At 45.1% G+C, this 21,641-nt stretch overlaps 1 protein-coding gene across 7 annotated transcripts in view, besides 4 other annotated features; it reads right to left on the bottom strand.

The window, feature by feature from the left end:
* Window positions 1-21,641, bottom strand: part of PTPRG (protein tyrosine phosphatase receptor type G) — a 736,039-nt gene that overhangs the window by 105,096 nt on the left and 609,302 nt on the right. For all 7 annotated transcript variants that reach the window (XM_017006961.2, XM_017006963.2, NM_002841.4 and 4 more), the window contains one exon: window positions 861-1,045. In XM_017006961.2, coding sequence (XP_016862450.1) covers window positions 861-1,045 — 185 coding nt within the window. The remainder of the gene's footprint in view (window positions 1-860; window positions 1,046-21,641) is intronic.
* Window positions 821-1,321: an enhancer, noted in NCBI's record as "H3K4me1 hESC enhancer chr3:62176867-62177367 (GRCh37/hg19 assembly coordinates)". NCBI's record gives its function as "activates a minimal SCP1, AML or CMV promoter by ChIP-STARR-seq in naive H9 embryonic stem cells {active_cell/tissue: H9 hESC(naive)}" and the evidence as "EXISTENCE:reporter gene assay evidence [ECO:0000049][PMID:30033119]".
* Window positions 1,849-2,695: an enhancer, noted in NCBI's record as "H3K27ac-H3K4me1 hESC enhancer chr3:62175493-62176339 (GRCh37/hg19 assembly coordinates)". NCBI's record gives its function as "activates a minimal SCP1, AML or CMV promoter by ChIP-STARR-seq in naive H9 embryonic stem cells {active_cell/tissue: H9 hESC(naive)}" and the evidence as "EXISTENCE:reporter gene assay evidence [ECO:0000049][PMID:30033119]".
* Window positions 3,325-3,619: an enhancer, noted in NCBI's record as "tiled region #11400; HepG2 Activating DNase matched - State 12:CtcfO, and K562 Activating DNase unmatched - State 12:CtcfO". NCBI's record gives its function as "activates a minimal TATA promoter and a strong SV40 promoter by Sharpr-MPRA in HepG2 and K562 cells {active_cell/tissue: HepG2 | K562}" and the evidence as "EXISTENCE:reporter gene assay evidence [ECO:0000049][PMID:27701403]".
* Window positions 18,303-18,472: an enhancer, noted in NCBI's record as "experimental_70816 CRE fragment used in MPRA reporter constructs". NCBI's record gives its function as "activates a minimal promoter by MPRAs in K562 erythroleukemia cells, with activity observed for both the introgressed and non-introgressed 3:62159801 variant alleles {active_cell/tissue: K562}" and the evidence as "EXISTENCE:reporter gene assay evidence [ECO:0000049][PMID:34662402]".

Raw genomic sequence — 21,641 nt, 5'->3', positions numbered from 1 at the left:
TGGCATGAACCCGGGAGGTGGAGCTTGCAGTGAGCCGAGATTGCGCCACTGCACTCCAGCCTGGGCGACAGAGCAAGACTCTGTCTCAAAAAAAAAAAAAAAAAAAAAAAAAAAAAAAAAGACAGTAGTTGTGGAGTTTGCTTTATAGGGAAGGAGATGGCTTCTGCAAACATCTGTTCTGAAGGGGCTTGTGTGTTGGACACTAAACATTTATGTAAATTTTTAGAGGAGACATTGAATTAGGCACGTGTAGCCCAAAGTGAGGTCAGATAGTATAGCATTTGAGTATCTGAGAAAAGAGATAAAATATTACACAGCTGTAGGGGTTTGGCAGGTATTGGAAATGTGTAAGGCAGAACAAATGTGACAAAGGGAAGTGGCAGCGACTGTGGACAGTGGTGGTGGTGACATCAGCAGCAGTAGCTTTAGTAGGGGAAGAGGAAGAGGAGAATGATCGTAATAAATAATAGTTAATATTTATACAGTTATATAGGACCTGTTGAATACTTGCATAGCTCATTTAGTATTTATGATAATCCCATCAGATGAAAAGGGCCTAATTGAGGCTGTTAATAATGAAAGAAAAAGCAGTCAGTTTTAAAGGAACCAATCTAAAGAAATGAACCGGCTCTCCGGGTTGCATAGCTGTTAAGTCTAAGGTCAGGATGGCGCCCAGGCAGGCTCCATCCACTGTCCTCCCCGGCACTCTCGAGCAGCGCAGCAATGGCAGTGCCCATGTTCACCAGACAGTGTGAGGACAGATGACACAGAGCTGGCACACTGTGCAGTGCCTGGCAGAGAGCTGCAGCAGGAGTCCCTCTCTGCAGCATGTACCCTGAATCAGAGGAGGGGCTTCATACCAAGTCTTTGTCGCTGTCCTTTGTAAACGTCTTCTCCTTCTCGTCCTCATTCTTGGTCCAGCTGTAGGAGATCATGTAGTTCATGATGGGTGGGTGGTAGATAGTCTCCGGCTGGCTCCAGGACACCTGCAGTGCCGTCTGGTTCAGAGGCTGCACCTTCATGTGGATGGGTGGAGAGCTGCAAACTGAAGATACACAGGGCTCAGCTCAGGGAGCTTTCAGAACAATGCGCCATTCAATCCGTGCCCCTAAGGACTGCAGCCTCAAAAAGTTGAAAGAGTAATACAGGAAGCACCCATGCTCCCTTCTCCTGGGTCCTCTTAACATTGTGTGTGTAGAGAGAGAGGGAGAACATTGTTCTCCCTCTCTCTCACACACACGTGCACGGGACACAGATGCACACACACGTGTGCAAGGGACACAGATGCACACACACGTGCACGGGACACAAATGCACATACACATATGTGCACGGGGCACAGAGGCACATGCGCACACACACGTGCACGGGACACAGACGCACACACGCACACATGTGCATGGGGCACAGATGCACACACACACATGCACGGGACACAGATGCACATGCGCACACACACAGAACTGTTTTTCTGCTAGGCCAGTAAACACTGCAGCATTCTGACGCTTCTCCTCTAGATACTCTGTCCTGCATCTCCCAAGATTGAGGACACTCTCCTATGTAACCATAATACCAGTTTCACATGAAAGAAACTAAACATGAATTCAATACTATTATCTCATATATAGTCCATATTCAAATTTTCCCCGCTGTCTCCAAAAGATCCTTAATCACTGTGTCCCCCTGACTTCAGCCTCATGGTCAACAGCCTTTTTCTTCATGATGGACGTTTTGAAGAAGCCAGGCCGTTGGACTGGTGGAGTGTGCTAACTAAAATTGTAGACGAAATCTTATTGTAAACAGGTCCGAGTGTAAATAAATAAATTTAAGATGAGACTTTAAATAATTTTAAAGCAAAGTCACATAACACAAGGATGACTTTCTCTGGAACAGCAGAACCCCGTGTAATTATCCTGACGTGGGGTGTAAGGAAAAGTCAGGCTCATTCATCTTCTTATTCCTTGGGGCTGAGAGGTTTAAGGGACACGGTGGATCTAAATCTATTTACAGACAAACCTATGAAAGTGTTGAGACCTTGACAGGTCTGAATGAGTTATACAAATGCTCAACAGGTCCAATCCAGTCAGCCGGAAATGTGTGCTTTCTCAGGGGTGTCCAGACCCGTGTGGCCGTGCTGCCTGCCTTCATGGAGCTGATGGTCCAGGGCAGGGGTTCTCACCCTCAGCACCCATGACCTCTTGAGCTAGACAATGCCTTGCTCTTGGGGACTGTCCTGTGTACTGTATAGCAGCATCCCTGGCCTCCATCTGCTAGATGCCAGTAGCTCTGCTCCCCGTCCTCAACTTGTGACAACCAAAAATGTCTCCAGGTGTTGCCAAAGGTTGCTTGCAGGGGCCAATCACCTTCGGCTGAGAACCTCCACTCTAAGAGATGGAGGCTCACCAAAGAATCCCATGCGCAGAGCCATCACTGCACGCCAGGACAGGATGGAGGGAGAGGAGGGAGAGGAAGAGGTGGCTCGGGCTTTGGCACCCAGGGAAGATGCCCTTGAGGAAGGTTCATGTAACTGAGAGCTGAGAGCTTATGGAGATGAAGGGGGTGGGAGCTGTAAAGGGATCCGGTGGGAAGGTCTGAGGGGCTGGAGCAAGTCACAGAAAAGACAGGCAGGCAGGGCACAGGTGTAGCTGCAGTGAGAAGCCTTGGGGCCAGATTTGAACTCTGGCCTTTCTCCCACGAGTCCTTGGACACCCCTGGAAAGAACTGAGCCCCAGAGTGATGCAATCAGGTTGGTGCTTTACAAAGATCCCCTGAACTTCAGCTGAGTGTAGAAGGCCCCAGAGAAGCCAAGTGTGGAGGAGGGGGCCTGTGAGGAGGGGCGGCAATGGCCAATTGCTGGAAGACCAGGGAGGAATGGCAGGTCCTAGAGCTTACAGTTAGGAGGTAAAACGCAGAGGCCTGGTGATGTGCCGGGTAAGGAGGGCAGGGGAGGGTGAGGAGGACCTTCTGGTTTGGGTGCAGGAACCGGGTAAGAAGTAAGCGGGCGTGCTGGCAGAGACAGGCCAGGGGACCACGGCTTGGTTCTGACCCGCTGGCATCTTCCAAAGACCACCCACATGCCCTGCAGCCCACCAGGAACCAGACTCCCGTATTTCCTACTCAAGAACCCAAAACCCAAGGCAGCTCTGGGGACAGGATGGCTTTCCTGCCAGAGACGCATGGCCCAGCTTTGAGGACCTGGCCGGTGGAGAAAAGTAGATTGGTTTTGACAGGGAGGCCACCTTTTACTCTTCAACTGCCAAACCCCAGTTCAGTTGGTAAGGTTCACTTAGTGCGACAGAAACGGAAGGAAGGGAGGGAGGGAGGAAGGGATAAATTAGTGGGTCATTCCCACTGCCCCGCAGAACCCCTGGGAGGCATCACGCTGTCCGCTGCGCAAATGCCACCAGAGAAGGGACATCAAACAAAGAATCTGAAGGGAGGCTTCCACGGAGACATGAGGGCGGAGTGACAGAACGTGGGCACTAGGTGGCGCCAACCTACTGTTTTTAAATACTCCGGCTTCTAAGTGGCTTCATAGTTTTTCAAGACAGAACACGGAGGAGGCGGGGGAAAGATCAGGAAATAGCTACACCCCCAGCGTTCCAAATACTAATAACGAACCGAGATGTACATATTGGGAAGCTTCTATATCCCATAATGATGACCATCTCAGATTTCCTAACTTCTCTATCTTTTCTCACCTCCCACCATGTTCTTATTTATCTTCCTCATTCTGAAAGCATTCATTCCCCTGCTCCAAATAGCAATGAACACTGTATGGGGAAGCATCCCTCTCTGACAGTTACATCATACCCCCATAAATAATTCTGTCACCCACATACAGATGCAACCATTCTTCTTATTTTTTGAAATTAAAATAGATGGGTTTTTCTGTGTGCATTAAGATGATTCATGTTAATATTTTTTAAAAAAGGAACCCAAGTAGTACAAAAAAGTAAAAAGAAAGTTAAAAGAAAAAATTCACCCCAAATCTCAGTGCCCAGAGAAAACGATTGTGAACATTCTGGGACTCCAACATGCAGTTATCTCTTTATATACATGTGAAAGTACATACGCACAATTGATAGAAATAGAATAGGATGTGGATGGCACTAGAATGGAATGTTTGGTTTTGTTTTGTGGTGGTGTCTCACTCTGTCACCCAGGCTGGAGTGCAGTGGCTGGATCATGGCTCACTGCAGCTTCAACCTCCTGAGCTCAAGTAAGCCTCCCACCTCAGCCTCCTAAGTAGCTAGGACTACAGGTGCATACCACCACACTTAGCTAATTTTAAATTTTTAAAATAGAGACGGGGTTTCACTATGTTGCCCATGCTGGTCTTGAACTTCTGGGCTCAAGTGATCCTCCCTGTTTGGCCTCCCAAAGTACTGGAATTACAGACGTGAGCCACCATGACTGGCCCTAGAATTTTTTGTTGTTGTGTTTTACTCAACAACTCATGGGTATATTTCCTCGTCAATAAGTAGAGCTTAGTGTCATTGTCTTGAATGATGGTACAGAATCTCACTGTCTCAATGTATTAAAAAATACTGAGTTAAGCTCTCAAAGGAGGTAGATCTGGCCTCGCTCTAACAGGATCACCTGCCAGGAAGGGAATTCTGTAACTTAATGGCCTCCAAAGATCCATGCTTGTCCCTGATTACACGAGAGGAGGAGCATGAGGCCAGGGCTTTGCAGGCTGAGGAGCTATAGGAAGAGCAGTCTGATGAGAGATGTCTCTTCTGTTCTCTACCCCCCATCCTGGGTAGTGGCTTTTTCTAGCTATACTGGGCCAAATTTGGAGGAGGCATTTGCAGAGTACTAGGAGGGCCTAGAATAGAGGATGGCAAACATTTTTTCTGTAAAGGGCCAGATAGTAAATATTTTCGGCTTTGCAGGCCACATGGTCTCTCGTAACCACTACTGATTCCACCTTTGAAGCACAAAGCAGCACAGATAGTATGTAAACATGAATGAGTGTGGCTGTGCTCCAGCAGAAATATCTATGGACACAAGTTCAATTTCATAGGATTTTCATGTGTTGCAAAATATTCTTTTGATTTTTCTCCAACTGTTTAAAAATATAGAAACCATTCTTAGCTCATGGTTACACAAAAGGTGGTGGGGAGTAAGTTTCGGCCCGTGGATCAGTGCTGATCCCAGATTGCGACAGTAAGGAGAGGCCAAGCCTTTTTTTGAAACACAATTATCAACTGCACTGTATTCTTGGCACTGAATTCTGCCCCTCTGCACAGGCTGACAGGCCTGCTCCTTCACAGAGCTTAGATTCTTCCCAGCACTTACTAGTACGTGGAGTTGTATTATTGACTTCATTGACGATCTGTAATTATCTATCTCCCCCACTAGGTGGAAGCTCCACAAGGCTGGCGCCTTTTCTGTCTTGTCTGGTTCATTACCTTGCATCTAAGACAGTGCCTGGCACGTAGTGGGCTCTCAATCAATACTTGCTGAATGAACAGAAAGTTGGTTGTATATGGAGTAACAGCCTTAGTCTTTCCCGTGGTCCACAGGTCCTGTGTGACATGTTCCCCTTCCACATCGTCAGCCTCATGGCTTGCCATCTTCCTCTTCATGGACGCATCTCTGGCCAGCCCCCACCCCAGCCCCCTTAAAGATCCGGCTTCAAGGACAGGCGTGGTGGCTCACGCCTGTAATCCTAACACTTTGGGAGGCCATGGTGGGTGGATCGCTCGAGGCCAGGAGTTCGAGAGCAACCTGGACAACATGGTGAAACCCCGGCTCTAGAAAAAAACACAAAAATTAGCCAGGTGTGGTGGCGCACACCTATAGTCCCAGCTACTCAGGAGGCTAAGGTGGAAGATCACTTTAACCCAAGAAGTGAAGGTTGCCGTGAGCTTTGATCATGCCACTGTGCTCCAGCCTGGGTGACCGAGTAAGACCCTATCTCAAAAAAAAAAAAAAAAAGGAAAAGAAAAAAATCCAGCTTCAACACCCTGCTTCCCCTCTGAGGCCGATGGGCCACCCGTGTCCTCCTGCACTCTCACTGCTTCCCTCCTCACCCTGTGTGCCCATCACCCTCTGTCCTCACCACCTACCCACCTCTGTGTCCCCCTGACTGAGCTGCAAGCATCTCCCAGGCAGGGACCACCAAGCTCCTTATCACTGGTACCCTTGGCAGGGGCTCGCGTTTCTCTGACGGAATGAGGGATGCTGTTTTGAGCGTCCTCCATTGAAGAGGATTCCATGTACAAAATCAGTGCCACACAATTCATTCCTGGGGTCACTGCCAGGAGCCTCAAATGTGTTGAGGATCTTGTCTCTGGTCTTTAACTCATGCCTTCTGCTAATAAGAAAAGCATTCAGTCTACAGAGGGAACAAAAACCACCGATGCTTGGCGACTGGGGCAACGATAGTACCAGACACCCGTCAAATAACTCAGGCAAGCGAGCAGGCAGACACCACTGTGCCTTGTGCTTCCAAAGTTCTGCTTGCTCTTTAAGTGATGGAAACCCTTCTTTCAAACAACACCTCCCTCAAAAGTCCAAAAAGGAAACAGGCAAACGCAGCAAAACAGAATTCTATAGATCAGTTTGGAAGAGCTGGTATAACAGAAAGTGTGGGCTTTGGAGCCAGACCCATGCAAATCCTGTGTCCGCATCTGTAAAATGGATGACTAGGGTCTAGCAATTATCTTCCTCACAAGGTTGCAGTGAGGATTACGAGGGAACACTGTGGATAAACCCAAAGTTGTGGGCCTCAGGCCCAATGGCAAGTACGTGGACACACTCTATGGCCCACACAGTGTTAAAAAAATGGTATATTTTACATATAAATATGGGCTTTAAAATCACGCCTGCATCCACACGTGGCAGTGGTGAGCTAGAGCAGGAGAGCAACCATTTCCTTTAGATGGGAGTGTGTACTCAATTTTTCTTTTTTTTTGCCATAGTCTCCACCACTCCCCGTTGCCTCTGCTCAGCCCACTTCCCCGGCAGCTCTCTGGCCCCCAAGGCGAGGTGAGTTTTCTACTGGTCTAAAATGAACACCAGGAGCACTCTCGAGGGCACACCACAGATGCCCAATACTTGTACTTATCTATCTCTTCTCAATGGTCCTTGTAAACTGCACCTAACAAAGGGAAGTCTGATAGACCTCTTGATACGTCCTTTTGCACAAAATTGAAGCCTTTTAACCATGCGGGAGGTGCCACACCCGGATCTCTAAACAAATATCCCCTGTGAGGCCTCCTGACAACAGCCTTTCCCCTTTCAGGGGCCTGATTATGTTCCCACTGGGGTCCGATTGCTTCTCACAGGCATGAAGGTACTGCTCCTCACCAGCTCTGAGAATTTCTGCCTTCACTCTGAACCACCTTTAATTATGATCCCAGGCTTCCTTAAGTAATGAAGAGTCTTCTAGCAGAGCACCCAAGGTCCTCTGATCCTAAATCAATGTCAAGGATATTTTCTCAGTGGTTCCACAGTAAATAGTAGGCTCCCCACCCCCACCCCATCCTCTTCATTTGGGGCTTTAGATAAACTAATGTGATATGCTCTGTCTGAAAGTCAGTGTAATTTCCAAGTGCCTTAAACTATCTGCAGTTCAAGGTTCCTCCAGGGGCCTTCTTCCAGCACCTGCCCCCTCGGAGTTTCACACCCGACGCAACTGGCCAAATATTGATCAGGAGTCAAAGAGACAGTACTACTACTCAAACAAACCAATTCGGTGCAGATTCACTATTTCACAGTGCCTGTCAACACAGATGAAACTGCTGCTTCCTGGGTGGGAGGTGTTGCAACATCATATGCCACACAGGGGCGGTGTCAGAGGGAACAGCTTGGCTTAAGCCAGCAGACGACCGTGGGGGAGATGCCTGTTTCTTGGGGACTGCCTGGCCCTGGTGGGGAGAAAGAGCAGGAGGCATTTCCTGTTAAAAGCAGGAGGGAACCAGTCAGGTGGAAGAGAGCCCAAGCCTTGCCTTAGACTGCTTAAATGCCTGTCATTTCTTTATCACCTTCAAATATGGAATCCTTTAAGGGAAATTTCCAGAGAAATGGCCTCAGGGAGTGATTATCTTTTTGAAGGGCTATATGAAAGAGGTCTAGGTAAACACAGAATCCTCCTCAGCAGCCCGCGTAGGACTTCAAACCTGGAATCTTGGTGCTTGGGGTGTTGCCTCCCCCATCCCTGCCCAAGAGCTCAAGATGGGCAAACCACACGGAGGAAGGAACTGGGAACGATGGAATCAAAGCAGGACCCCAGCTCCAGTGTAATGTGCATTTCCATCTGAATCATTTCTAGCTGGAGCTGCGGCTGCCACGCACATGCCCTGGGCCCGGCTCTGTGCATTCCTCTCGGATCATCCCCCGCACACAACGCATAACCGAATCCGAGAGCTGGGCTCCATTCACCCCATGAAAGATGATGACACTGGGCTTCAGAGAGACCAAGTTACTGGGCTGGGCCAAGGAACCAGAGTGAGAAGAGAATGGAGAACTGAATCCCAATCTGCCTGAGTCTGAACCAGAGTTGACAGGGCACTCCATGGAGCAGTCATGTATGTACTTGCCCCATACACGTCCCGTAACTGTTTTCCTATCTTCAAGATGCTAATAAAGATGTCAGGGGCATTACTCCAAGAGCTTAAAAGGGGAAAGCTGTCCCAGCAGGTAAAAAGCTTCCTTCCCGTTCCCTTCTCCTTCATCCTTCCCCATCCCCACTCCCTTCTCAGTTCTCAATGACAAATGACAATGTGGGGTCTCTTGACAATTTCCAGAGCAGCCTCCAACTCCTTCGGGTCTCTCTAAAACTGGACGCAGCAATCGCCTCTTCCCCCATCAGAAACGCATAGGGAGCTCATGGTCCTTCAAGGAGTGACAGGATGCTGGAAATATACAGATTGCTGCTATAGTGCCCACCCACCAAGGCCTTCATTCTGTGCCATTCTTTTTTTTTTTTTTTTTTAATTGAGACGAGTCTCACTCTGTCGCCTAGGCTGGAGTGCAGTGGTGTAATCTTGGCTCACTGCAACCTCTGCCTCCTGGATTCAAGCAATTCTCATGCCTCAGCCTCCCAAGTAGCTGAGATTACAGGTACCCACCACCACACCTGGCCAATTTTGGTATCTTTAGTAGAGACAGAGTTTCGCCATGCTGGCCAGGCTGGTCTCGAACTCCTGACCTCAAGTGATCCACCCACTTCGGCCTCTCAAAGTGTTGAGATTACAGGCATGAGCCCCGCGCCCGGCCTACTCTGTACTGACATATTAATAGTAACGAGTCCTATCTGATGAGCCCAGCTCTGGGCTGTTAGAACATTTCACAGCTTATGTCATCAAATCCTCACGGGAATTCTGTGGGGCTGCTGGCTCTATCATTACCCTTGTTTTAGAGACCTAGATCTAAGAGGGTCATTCATTCACTTGCTTACTCTAGGGTCAGACTGCTTTGGTTTTAGACAAACCAGTTGTGTGGCCTTGGATAAAGCTTGGGTAAAAGCTTCTGGGATAAATGCATGAAATGCACAAATGCACGTGGACTGACATATAGCAAACGTACTTTAGAAATAGTTACTGTTAGCCGGGCGTAGTGGCTCATGCCTGTAATCCCAGCACTTTGGGAGGCTGAGGCGGGTGGATCACGAGGTCAAGAGATCGAGACCATCCTGGCCAACATGGTGAAACCCCGTCTCTACTAAATATACAAAAATTAGCTGGGCATGGTGGCAGGTGCCTGTAATCCCAGCTACTCGGGAGACTGAGGCAGAATTGCTTGAACCTGGAAGACGGAGGTTGCAGTGAGCTGAGATCGCACCACTGCACTCCAGCCTGGCGACAGAGCGAGACTCCATCTCAAACAAACAAACAAACAAAGAATTAGTTACTGTTAACTATTTATTCGGCACCGGCCATATGTCAGGCCCTTGACCAGGAACTATGGATAAAGGTGAACACATGTTGTCATGCTCCTGACCCCCTGGAGATGACAGCCCAGTGGGAGAACACACATCAACAACAGAATCTCCGTAAAACAGAGGTTTTGAGTGTCCTTAGGAGATCTGCATAGAATTCACAGAAGTTTGTGAACTTAGATAGCAAAAAAGTCCACTTTTATGTTCACTAATCTCTAACAAAAATGTAGCATTTCCTTACATTTTAAATGTTGGCAACAAACTACAGTAGTGTTACGAGACTTGTGTGATAATCACCAAAAGATATCACAAAGCTATTCCTGTTAGATTACAGTGATTACCAATACAGGTGACCCTTGAACAACACAGGTTCGAACTGCATGGGTCAATTTATAAGTGAATTTCCACCCCTGAGACAGGGCAACGAACTCCTCCTCTTCTTTCTCCTCCTCAGCCTACTCAACAAGAAAATGACAAGGATGAAGACCCTTGTGATGATCCACTCCCATTTAATGAACAGTAAATACATTTTCTCTTCCTTATAATATTCAAAATAACATTTTCTTTCCTCTAGAGTACTTTATTGTGAGAATATAGCATATAATACATATTACATACAAAATATGTGTTAATTGACTGTGTATGTTACTGGTAAGGCTTAAGTATTAACTTTTTGGAGAGTCAAAATTTATACTGGATATTTGATTGTGTGGACACTCCAATCTCCATGGTGTTCAGGACTCAGTTGCATTTCAAAATTTCCTTCATGTTCATCATTATATCAACATTATAATGATTTTTAGATCTGCAGCTGGATCTTGTAATTTAATGCCCTCATCAAGAAGCAGGTAAGTTAGTACAATTTTAAAGATATTTCGAAAATATCTGAGGATAACTGGCTTCCTCTGTAATCTATTATATTTTATTTTAAGCATCTAAAACCATCAATATGAGAAGATAAGCTAAAGGAGTCCATGGCACCAAAATGGTTAAACCCATCTAGCACTAAGGCATATATAATTACACGCTTTTTAAGGAAAATGTTATAGTAGTTCTGTATAAAGGTTTAATAAGGAACCCTGACCTAAACTTGGGGAGTTGCTTAGAAAACTTACTGAGCATAGTTTGAACTGAAATCTCAACAATGAGTAGGTGTTTATAGAGGAAAGAGGAAAAAAGGAGGCTTGGGTATGTCAGACAGAAAAAAAAAGTGTGTACAAAGGCCCTGTGATGAGAAAACTGGGAAGGAAACTAGTGTGACTGTGAGCAGGGAATGAGGAGGAGAGTGGCCCAAGATTAGGTCTCAAAGCTAGGAAGCACTGGAGCTGGGGTTTATCCCGGGGTGGATCTGGCTGCCGAGGCCAGAATTTGCTGGCTAGCCCGCCACCTTCTTCCGATGTGGGACCCTGGTGCGGAGTTGCCCCCAGATTCTCCTAAGTGCTAGGACAACTGCTTTCAAGTTTTAAATCCATGGTGTCTTCACTGATGCCACCTGTTACCTGCGGACTTTTCTTCTACACAGTACAATGACATCTCCCTTTCCATGAACAAGCCCTGAATTACAATTCAGTTTCTCAGCAAACAAATGAGTATTAGATGCTCTGTGTTGCAATTACCATGGAAGAAAGCAAATTTGAAAACTGTTTCTTATCCTGTTGGCTGTCTCTGCTGTGCATGTAACAGAGCTACATGCTCAGAAAACAGAAATAGGCAGTATCTGGGAAAGCAGAGGCAGAAATTCAATTCTCCAGTTCAAGCACTGGTTTCGACTTCCCACATTATGCTCTCCCTGACCTCTCTTACCTCCTTGGATTCTTTTTTCTACATGATATCCCTCTTCCTCTGAGAGCTAAAGGCCATGGGAGGTGTCCATGTCCTGTGCAGGAAAGAGCATTGTTCAGCTCAGCGCTAAGGGAGGTGACAAAGTTCAGGATGATGCATCTTCCCAGCCTCACTTGATAACAGCTGCGTGCATCTTGGACGCTGGGTGGAAGGCTGGATTCCATGTACCCTGGGGTACATTCTCTCCCTTTCAACTTTATGATGCTGTGATTTCCTGCTAAGAGAGCAAAGCGGACCTATCCCACTTTAATTGAGCACAGCATCCTTCCCTCGTGGTGCTTCTGACCTTCCACCTTCTCCCCATGTCTTGCCCTAGTGAAGGGCTCCAACTGAGTGTCTGAACCACAGACCTGGCTGCGGAGCTAGGGTGGGTAAATGCCCAGTGTCCTTCTTTCATAACGATGTTTTTCTCCTGCTTCCCACTGCTGAGACAATGTTGTAGTCCCCTTTACTATGAAGAAACAGCGGGTCACCTAAAATAGAGCTCTAAAGCTGCCCTTAGCAACACAAGACTGGTATCCAAACACCATCCAAGATCTAAGATCCCATGAGCTGTTTTTATTAGTGATCCCAACAGCCACGTCAGGAAATCAACCAGTGACCCACACAGATGGCTTTAGCTGGGATTTTATAGAAATACTTGAGTCTAGATTATTATGATGCAAATGGTTAAGGTGCCCTCATTTGTTTTCCATCTGAGCCTTAAAATAATTTCTCTTGGAAACAGGTAGTCTGCTCGGCTTGGTACCTACTATGCTTAAAAGTAGTGTCCTGGCTCACGCATGGCATTTACCTGTTAACTCTGCATCTCTGCTACTTCCTGGCCACTTGCTACTCCTACTTGTTCTCTGCTCTGGCTGAGTGTGGGTGGAGTGGTAGGATGAACTCCAATGTTTGGGTTCCAACCTCATTTCAATCCCCAGATGTGGCGTCTGAACCAACTGATCATTTGGTAAGGATGGCCCTATCTGGTATGGTTTCAGGGCCTCCCACACCTGGTACTGCCCTCAGGTCAAGACTTGGTCAAAGGGACCCAAGAAGGAAACAGGGAGACTGTCAGTTGATGGAGAGACCAGGCTATGGGCAGGCACTGCCCGAGAGTGGGCCCAAGTGGAATCATCAATTCAGCACATGGCAGGGACTGAGCCACTTGAGTCTCTTGGCTGCCCCTGGCAAATAGGTCCATACGCTCTGAAGAGCAGCTGGTGGGTGAAAACCAAGTTTTCAACAGTCAGCACACTCCTCAGCGAGAAGGCTCTTCTCTTCTGGCAAGCCTTTCCTGGTGCCAGCCCGGAAGCAAAGAATTGCATAGCTCTGTGCACCTGATAATACCTGACAGCATTTAGTCTCAGACATACAGGCAGCGCCTTCTCAGCACAGGCAGAGATTTGAAATGTGACAGCCAAGATACTTATTTCGGTCCCAGCCAGTGCTTAGGAATCACAAAACCAGTCAAGAGAGTTGCCCAGGAGTGAAGCCAGCAACCGTAACAACCACTGGCTGTGCTGAGAAGGAATAAGAAAAGCCTGACTCAAGAGGACACCACATGGGGCTCCCTCTTCTGGGTCTTAACAGTTGTTCTTTGATTTTCAGGCTTCAGGGGCAGGGAGATGAGACTGTTTCTTATGCCCTAGGAAAGAAGGGTTCTGTCCATATTCCTGGACAGATACCTGAAGAAAAACAGCTTCAACCAACCCGTGTTTGTTTGAGGAATAATGAGTGGGATGAATGGGGAAGATGTCTCCCAGCTAGATACCTCCTATGGCTCCAATGAGAGGCACACCAATGTCTCGCAGCCTCATGTTTCATAGGCTGTGAATGCTAGTTAGTGAAAAAGGGGAAGTGTGCTGCTCTGGGAGTAAGGAAGCTGTTGGCCTTTATTAATTTCCAGATTGCTGTTCACAAGCACCATGGTGCCCACACAAGTAAACCCAATGTCAGAGAAGATTTTTCTAGTGAGCAAAGAAAGCCAGAGTAGGGTTGCTAAGTTGGCCTTGAAGATCAAACTCTGTCTACCTGCCTAGAGATGGAGAGGATTAAGTAATTAGGTAAAGTGTGAAAACACTAGATGGCCCCTGGAGTCTGCTACCAGTATCAGCTCAAACGCTCCCAAGCCATAACAGCCGATTCTGCCTGAGAGCATCCTGACACGAGTGCCTGACACTTTAAGTGACTCCATTCTCTGCTTTTAGGCTGTTCCTTGAGGCAGACAGAAAAGCCCTCGCTCCATGTTTTGTTGAAATGTACGCTTCCATCCAAGGTGGCTTTTGGTCAGAGTAAAAGGTGGCTTCCCCAATCCCAGGAGCCTCTCTGATTTCAGGAAGTAGTACTGGCATGACATCCTACTTCAGATGCCTGGCAATGCTCCCCAGTAGGAGCACCCAGCCTGGGCTACATCATACATGTCCCAATTGTGCAAACTCTTTTGGTAAGAATTTTTTATTCCTGGCCACCTGATATGTATATGTTAGCTTAATCCATCCATGCATCCCTCCATCCTCCCATCCATCCCTCCATCCTCCCATACATCCATGGATCCATGCATTTATCCATGCATCCATCCATCCTCCCATCCATCCATGGATCCACATGTGCATCCATCCATCCATCCATCCATCCATCCATCCATCCATCCATCCATCCTCCCATCCATTTGTGGATCCACACATCCATCCATCCTCTTATCCATCCATGGATTCACATTTTCATCCATCCATCCATCCACCCACCCACCCACCCAACAACCCATCCAATCCAGTATTTACTGAGGAGTCAACAGTTACCATAGCACCCTCTCTCCAATAAAAACAGAGAAAAGGAAAAGTCTCACCCCTCACAGAACTTATGGGGTAGTGGGAGAGCTGGATATTAGGGGGAAAAATCACATATCGCATAATCAGATGTAAAAATTCAACTTTGGTAAGTACTATAAGGGAAAGGTACTGGTGCCCTGAAACAAGTGGCTGGGTCAAGGCAGTCAGGAAACTTCCTTGGGGAAGGGACCCTTGCGCTGAGTTATGAAGGCTGAGGAGGGGTCAGTTAGGTACAGAGGTGGGACAAGGGCCTTCCAGGTAGAGGGAACAGCCTGCTGGGACTGCAGAATGGCTGCTGGACTGAAGTGTAGGATGCCAAGGGAAGGAAAGTACAAGACGGGGCTGGAGAGGGGGACAGGACTTGATGTGTGGACCACCTTAAGGATTATACATTTCATCAGAAAGGTTTTGACAAGTTCGAACAGCCTGGCTTCACACTTCTAACAGGAAGAGGGCATGGCACCCTTATTCTGAAATACGTTCTCCAATGATCATGTCACATATAACAGGTTGTCCTGGGCATACAAAGAAGCTATTGCTGACCTACAGATAAGAAGATACAATTATTTGCAGAGTAATTTCCATATCCAAGATCCTGTACTATAAGTCTTATTTGAAAGGCCACTGGCTGAGGAAGAGAGTGTATGATTATTATCTCTATTTTATTACTATTATGTTTTGAGACAGGGTCTCACTGTGTCACCCAGGCTGGAGTGCAGTGGGCATGACCATGGCTCACTACAGCCTCAACCCCCTGGGCTCAAGTGATCTTTCTGCCTTAGCCTCTTGAGTAGCTTAGGGACTACAGGTGTGTGCTACCAAGCCCAGCTAATGTTAAAAAAAAGATAAATTTTTTTTTCTTTTCTTGGTGGAGATGGGGTCTCACTGTTGCCCAAGCTGGTCAGGAACTGCTGGTCTCAAGTGATCCTCCCACCTTGGCCTCCCAAAGTGTTGGGATTACAAGCGTGAGCCACTGGGCTCTGCCTTATTATCTCTATTTTAGAGGCAAGGAAATAGAAGCTTAGATATTAGCTTGAGCAAGGTCACAAAGGAGTGAATCGTTCCTAGGATTTCAGTCTAGGTATGCTTGAATCCCAAGTCTGTATTCTAACACTGCCTTATCCTGTCTTATTATTTATTCATTCGTTCACTTAGCAATGACTGTGCACCTACTATGTACCAGGTACTGTGTTAGGCCCTCCTCATCCAAGGATGCACAAGATCTTCTGCCTAAATGGCCCCACGGTACAGATCAAGTGGGTGCAGGACTCTCAGGACTAACCCTGTGACCAATACCCTATGCCCTGAGCACCCAAGATAACCTGACAAAATAGATAAAAGCCAAGCAGATAAAGACTGAGCCCAGTGATGACTTTTAGGAAGGTAAGAGCACCTCATTCCCACAAGTATGTTTCCTTTTAAAGCTCCTTCATTCAGGGAAGGAGTACTAAACTGTGTTGTTCAAGTCACCCGATGACATCCAAAACACAGAGGCACCACTTGCAAGTTCTTGTGGAAGATGGCGGTCCCTTGGATGATGGAAATATTGCGTTTGGACATAAGAGGATCTTGGTTCACGTCTGAGCTCTACCACTTCCTGGCTGAGAGGCTTTGGATGATTCACTTACCCTCTCTGAACGTTAGACACCTCACTTGTTAAAGAGAAACAATAATACTCCATTTCTCACTTTGCTCACCCTACCCACCCCTCCATCCAAACTGTTAGTAAATCTCCAAAGCTCTCCTCCAAAGTCCACCCCTAATGATCACTTATACTTTTACTATGATCATCCTCATCCAACCTGCGATATTTCCATCAGCCTCTTGCAGGGTCCTGCAGACTCCAGTGCAAGTCCTCTGCAAGCATTCGCCACATAACAGCCAGAACAATAAGTTTATAGACGTTGTGATTATTCCAGAGTCCTCTTTAAAACCCTCCAGAGGCTTCCCACTGCTAGAAGATCTTAACTCCTAACAGTCTTAACTCTTTACCAAGAGAAGTCTTTGCCAGAGTTGCTCTTGCCTGCTTCTCCAGCTCTTCTCTCTGATCTTGCTTCCCCCTTTGTTTACCTCGCTCTAGGTTGGATCCCATGCCTCAGGGCCCTTGCAAATGACCTTCTTCTCCAGATCTCTGTGGGGCTGGCTCCCTGTCCTCACTTGCCTTATCCCTAGAAGGGCTCCTCCCCACCACCTCACCACACTCTACCGCTCTTAGCACACGACTTGATTTGATTCCCTTTGGGACAACATTGAAGCCCATCATCAGTGGACTTGTTTATTTATTTCTCCTTTCTAGAATGTAAACTCCATGATGAGGGACCATCCCTTGTTCAACTTTATTTCTAGTACCTAGAACTTTTTTATAGTAGATGGTCAATAAATATTTAATGAATGAAAAGCAAATCCTGGCAGAGGTTGTTTTGAGGATTAAATAAAACAACTATGAATAGGAAACAATAGCACAGCATCTGGCACACAAAAACCTCTTCCCAGACTTTCTTTTTCTTTTCTTTTTAAGAGACGTAGGCTTACTATGTTGCCCAGGATGGCCTCAAACTCCTGGGCTCAAGCGAACTGCTCACCTCTACCTCCCAAGAAGCTGGGACTACTGGCGCGTGCCACGGCACTCGGCTCTCTTGCTAGCCTTTCTGACCACAGGTGTTTCAGGCACCACTCCTAGAGTCAATAAGCTTTTCAAAGCTAGAAAAAATGTCTGACATATGAAAAGAAATTTACTAGCTACAACAATTGATACAAAATATTTAATGCTACATTAAAAGTCTATAAAATATCAACATTATGTCAACCTATCAAATGCAACTTAACACCAACTCATATATTTACATAAACTTAGAGTAATCATGAAATGTCTGAGCATTTAAAAATGTTGGATATAATATGGCAGGACCTTCAGAAGTATGAGAGCCTAGGATGTTCCAAGGGTCTTGAAACAGACCTGTTTTTTTTGTCTTCTTTCTTAAACACTCCAGGTTAAAAAAAGAATGACAAATCAAAGTTATTTTTGAAAGAAGGGGGTTAAAAACTCTCCATGGGGGCTGCATGAAAAGTTTGTTTTTCTTAATACTTTCCTATGCTAAAAGTTTCTGGCAGTAACAAGGTAACTTTCTGCAAGAGTTTCTAGGAGGGCAGCTGCCTGCAAAGGCATTAAGTGTTCATATCAGAGCTTCTTTTAATAAGATAAGTAATTCAAGCTCATTAATCTGGTGAGTAGAAATGATTAAACTGAAAATAGAACAACATTAATATTTTCTCCCAAAATAGCAGAAAACCATGATTTCAATGTCAAACTCTTTTTTAAACCAGTCATGGATTTACTTCTTTGTTTGCTAATTTGGATAGAAAATGTGACCCTCTTTCTCAATGTACTGATTTTAAATAGGCTACTTACTCAGGCATCCTTGCACGGTGGTACATGTCCTTTAAAAGTGCTTTTAACCAAAACAGGAAGCAATGTTTAGAATTGAAAACATAGCTAAAAAAGAGATCCCTCCATCAGCAGAGGCAAAAAACACTCACCAAAAAAACACGACATCGGCTTAGGAGCCTAGAGGGTATGCAGGCAGCCCGGTGTCCTCTCCATTTCCTTTGCTTTTATTACATTATACAGTGTCATTTTAATTAAGCCATCAAATCAAATTATCAGATCAAGTGGTTTTGATTCCACTGCGGTTTGAACAGGTTTGGTTAAATTAATAAACCATATGTTTCATGTTGTTGGAAGGAAAGTTATTTTTCTCTGTTCCCTGTTCCAAAAGTCTTCACAATAGACAGTATTCAGCACTTAATCACTGAATGCTCTCCCATGTACCCGGGATATGCTGCAGAATAACTGAAATGACAGCCCATTAAATCCTAAAGTCTGTCTAAGTTATTTGCCGACAAAGGGCAGAGTGGCAAATCGGATGTCCCTTGAACAATCCAATAAGCCTAAATATTGTTTCCATTTACTGCAACTAGAGCTTTATTATTTTTTATGGATGACATCCATATAGAAGTCTTTCTTCAGCAACAATACAATATTAAGATGACTTTTCCCCCACTTCTTTCTTAAGGGGCCCTGCCTCTTGTGCTTGGCACCGAAAGGCTGGATTCTGTATTCTCTATTCCAGGACGTCCAATCATCCTGATAAAATATGGGTGCATGAACACAGGCCCCCACCACTGGCTGCCTCAAGTTCACGATCATAACCAGGGAACAGAGGAGGCGGGGAGCTATATTCAGTCAACTGAGGCTCTGGTTACCCCTCTGATGTGAAAGATGACCGGGTGTTAAAGTGAAGTGTAAGTGGGTGGTTACCAAGTTAATGAATCTCTGGTTGGTCCTAGGGTCTTTCAGTGGAATGGAAACACAGATCCAACACATTCACAGTCATGGCCATTACCACCTTGAAGACAGAAAATATGTATCTTACAACAAGCCTATGATTTCCCCATTTAGGGTTCTCCAACTCAGTTTAAGCTACTCCATAGAGTGGGGGTCAGTAAACTACAGTCCCAAGGCCAACTCTGGTCTGCCATCTTTTTTTGGAAATAAAACTTTACCGCAAGACATTTTCTATGCTCATTTACATATCATCTGCAGGTGCCTTCCTGCTATACTGGTAGAATTGAGTACAGTCGGCACTTATATCCATGGGTTCTGCATGCATGGATTCAACCAACCACAGACCAAAAATATTTGGAAGGAAAAAAAAACAATAAAAAATAGCAATATAACAATAAAAAACAGTACAAACAAAAATCAGTAGAGTATAACAACTATTTACATGGCATTTACATTGTATTAATATTATAAGTACTCTAGAAATATTTTAAAGTATACTGGAGGATGTGTTCAGGTTATGTGCAAATACAACACCATTTTATATAAGGGACTTGAGCATCCAAGGATACTGGTGTCCGTAGGGGTCCTGGAACCAATGTCCCACAAGTACCCAGGATTCAACAGAGACCATATGGCCAACAAAGCCAAAAACATTTACTATCTGGCCCTTAACCAAAAAAGTTAAATGACTCCTGCCTTATGTAATTAATTTATTTTTCCTTCTTCTGTGACAACAGCCCGATGAATGCATAAAACATCATAGCTTTCCTGGGCATTGAAAGCTTCCAATAATTATCAGATAGAGAATACCAATCAGGCAGGCTTTGCTCGTTTTGAATTACCTGAAGATTACAGAATACCACTCATTCTCTTTTTAAAACTTTTTTTCGCAGAAGAGTAGAGGAAGGAAAAGGACTTGTTCCATGCTTTGGCTCTTTCCTGCTTACATCTCTAAGGTCAATAATCTAAGCCCTCCAGGCTGTTTGATGATGTGTCAGCATCTTTTGGCCTATAGTGGCGCTGAGTTACCTGAGTCTTCGTAGGGAAAAAAAAGGAGGAACATTTGGTCATGTGGGCTGTGGTTCCATGACATGTGCATTTAAAAACAAACAGGGAGATCATCAGTCATTAAGGAGATGGAAATCAGAACTATAAACTGATGCAACCTCATATTCACTAGGTTGGTGAAAATAAAAGAGATGCACAATAACAAGTGTTGGTGAGGATATGGAGAAATTGAAACCCTCATACACTGTTGATGGGAATGTAAACTGATGCCACCACTTTGGAAAATAGTTTGATAGTTCCTCAAAACTGTAAACAGAAAGTTACCATATGACCCAGCAATGCTATTCCTAGGTTTACATCTAAAAGACTTGAAAATGTATATTTACACAAAAACTTGGACATGGATGCTCACAAAAGCATTATTCATAACAGCCAACAGGTGGAAAAAACTCAATGTCCATTAACTGATAAATGGATAAACAAAACATGGCACCTCCACATATTATGTGGTATATTACTTGGCCACAAAATATAATTAAATTCTGATACACAGCCCCCAATACAGATGAACTTTGAAAGTATTATGCTAAGTCAAAAAAGTCATATATGATCCACTTGCATAAAATGTGCAGAATAGACAAATTCATAGAGACAAAAGGTACGTTAGTGGTTGCCTAGCCCTGGAGGAAGGGAGGGAGGGACATACAGGGCAGACGAAGGGAAGGAGAATGGGAGTGATTGCTACAGATGGAGTTTCTTTTTGGGGTGATGAAAATGTTCCAGAAATAAATGGTGGCAATGGGTGCATGACTTTGTGACTACAGTAAAAAACACTGATGTGTACACGTTAAAAGAATGAATTTCATGGTATGTGAATTAAATCTCAATAAAGCTGTTATTAAAAAAAAATAGGGACACTATTCAGCAATAAAAAAAAAATGACCTACTGATACATGCCAAACATGGGTAAATGTTAAAATCATTAACACCAAGTGAAAGACAAAACCAGACCTGAGGTTGCCTGGGGTTGAGGGCAGGAGAAATAACTGACTGCAAATGGGCAGGAAGGAACTTTCTGTGGCGATGAAAATATTCTAAAACTGGACTGCAGTGATGGCTGCGCAAGTATAAATTTGCTAAAATTATCAAATTATACATTTACCATAGCTGTATATTATGGTATGTAAATTATGCCTTTAAAAAAATGCTGTAAAAATAGGAAAATTTCCTAAACTGCTGGCAAAAGTGTAAAGTGGCACATACAGTCACTTTGGGAAGCCATTTGGCAGTCTCTAACCAAACCTGAAAATATGTGTACTCTAGGATGCTGCCATTTTACTCCTGGGTGTATGCCCAATAGAGATATATCCACATATTCATTAAAAGGCAGGTTCAAGAGTTTTCGTAATCACCCAGACTTGAAAATAATCTACATATGCATGTATACTGAAATGGATAAATATATTCAGGTATAATCACACAATGGGCTTTAGCAATACAGAAGAACAAACTACAACTACAGGCCACAACAGAGAGGATGCTTAAAATCACTGTAGAGCAAAAGAAGCAAGACACAAAAGAGGACATACTGAATGATTCTAACTTTATGCAATTTATTAAACAGGCTAAGTGAATTTCTGGAAGTGGTTACCCTTGGGAACACAGAGTGATTAGGAAGGGGGATGATGGGGGAGTCCTGAGATCCTAGACGGGAGTTTCTTGATCTAGGTGCTTGTTACTC

This window comes from Homo sapiens, chromosome 3, assembly GCF_000001405.40.
Source record: "Homo sapiens chromosome 3, GRCh38.p14 Primary Assembly".
In the NCBI taxonomy this organism is placed as follows: Eukaryota; Metazoa; Chordata; class Mammalia; order Primates; family Hominidae; genus Homo; species Homo sapiens.
This window is presented reverse-complemented; position numbering and strand designations above follow the sequence as displayed.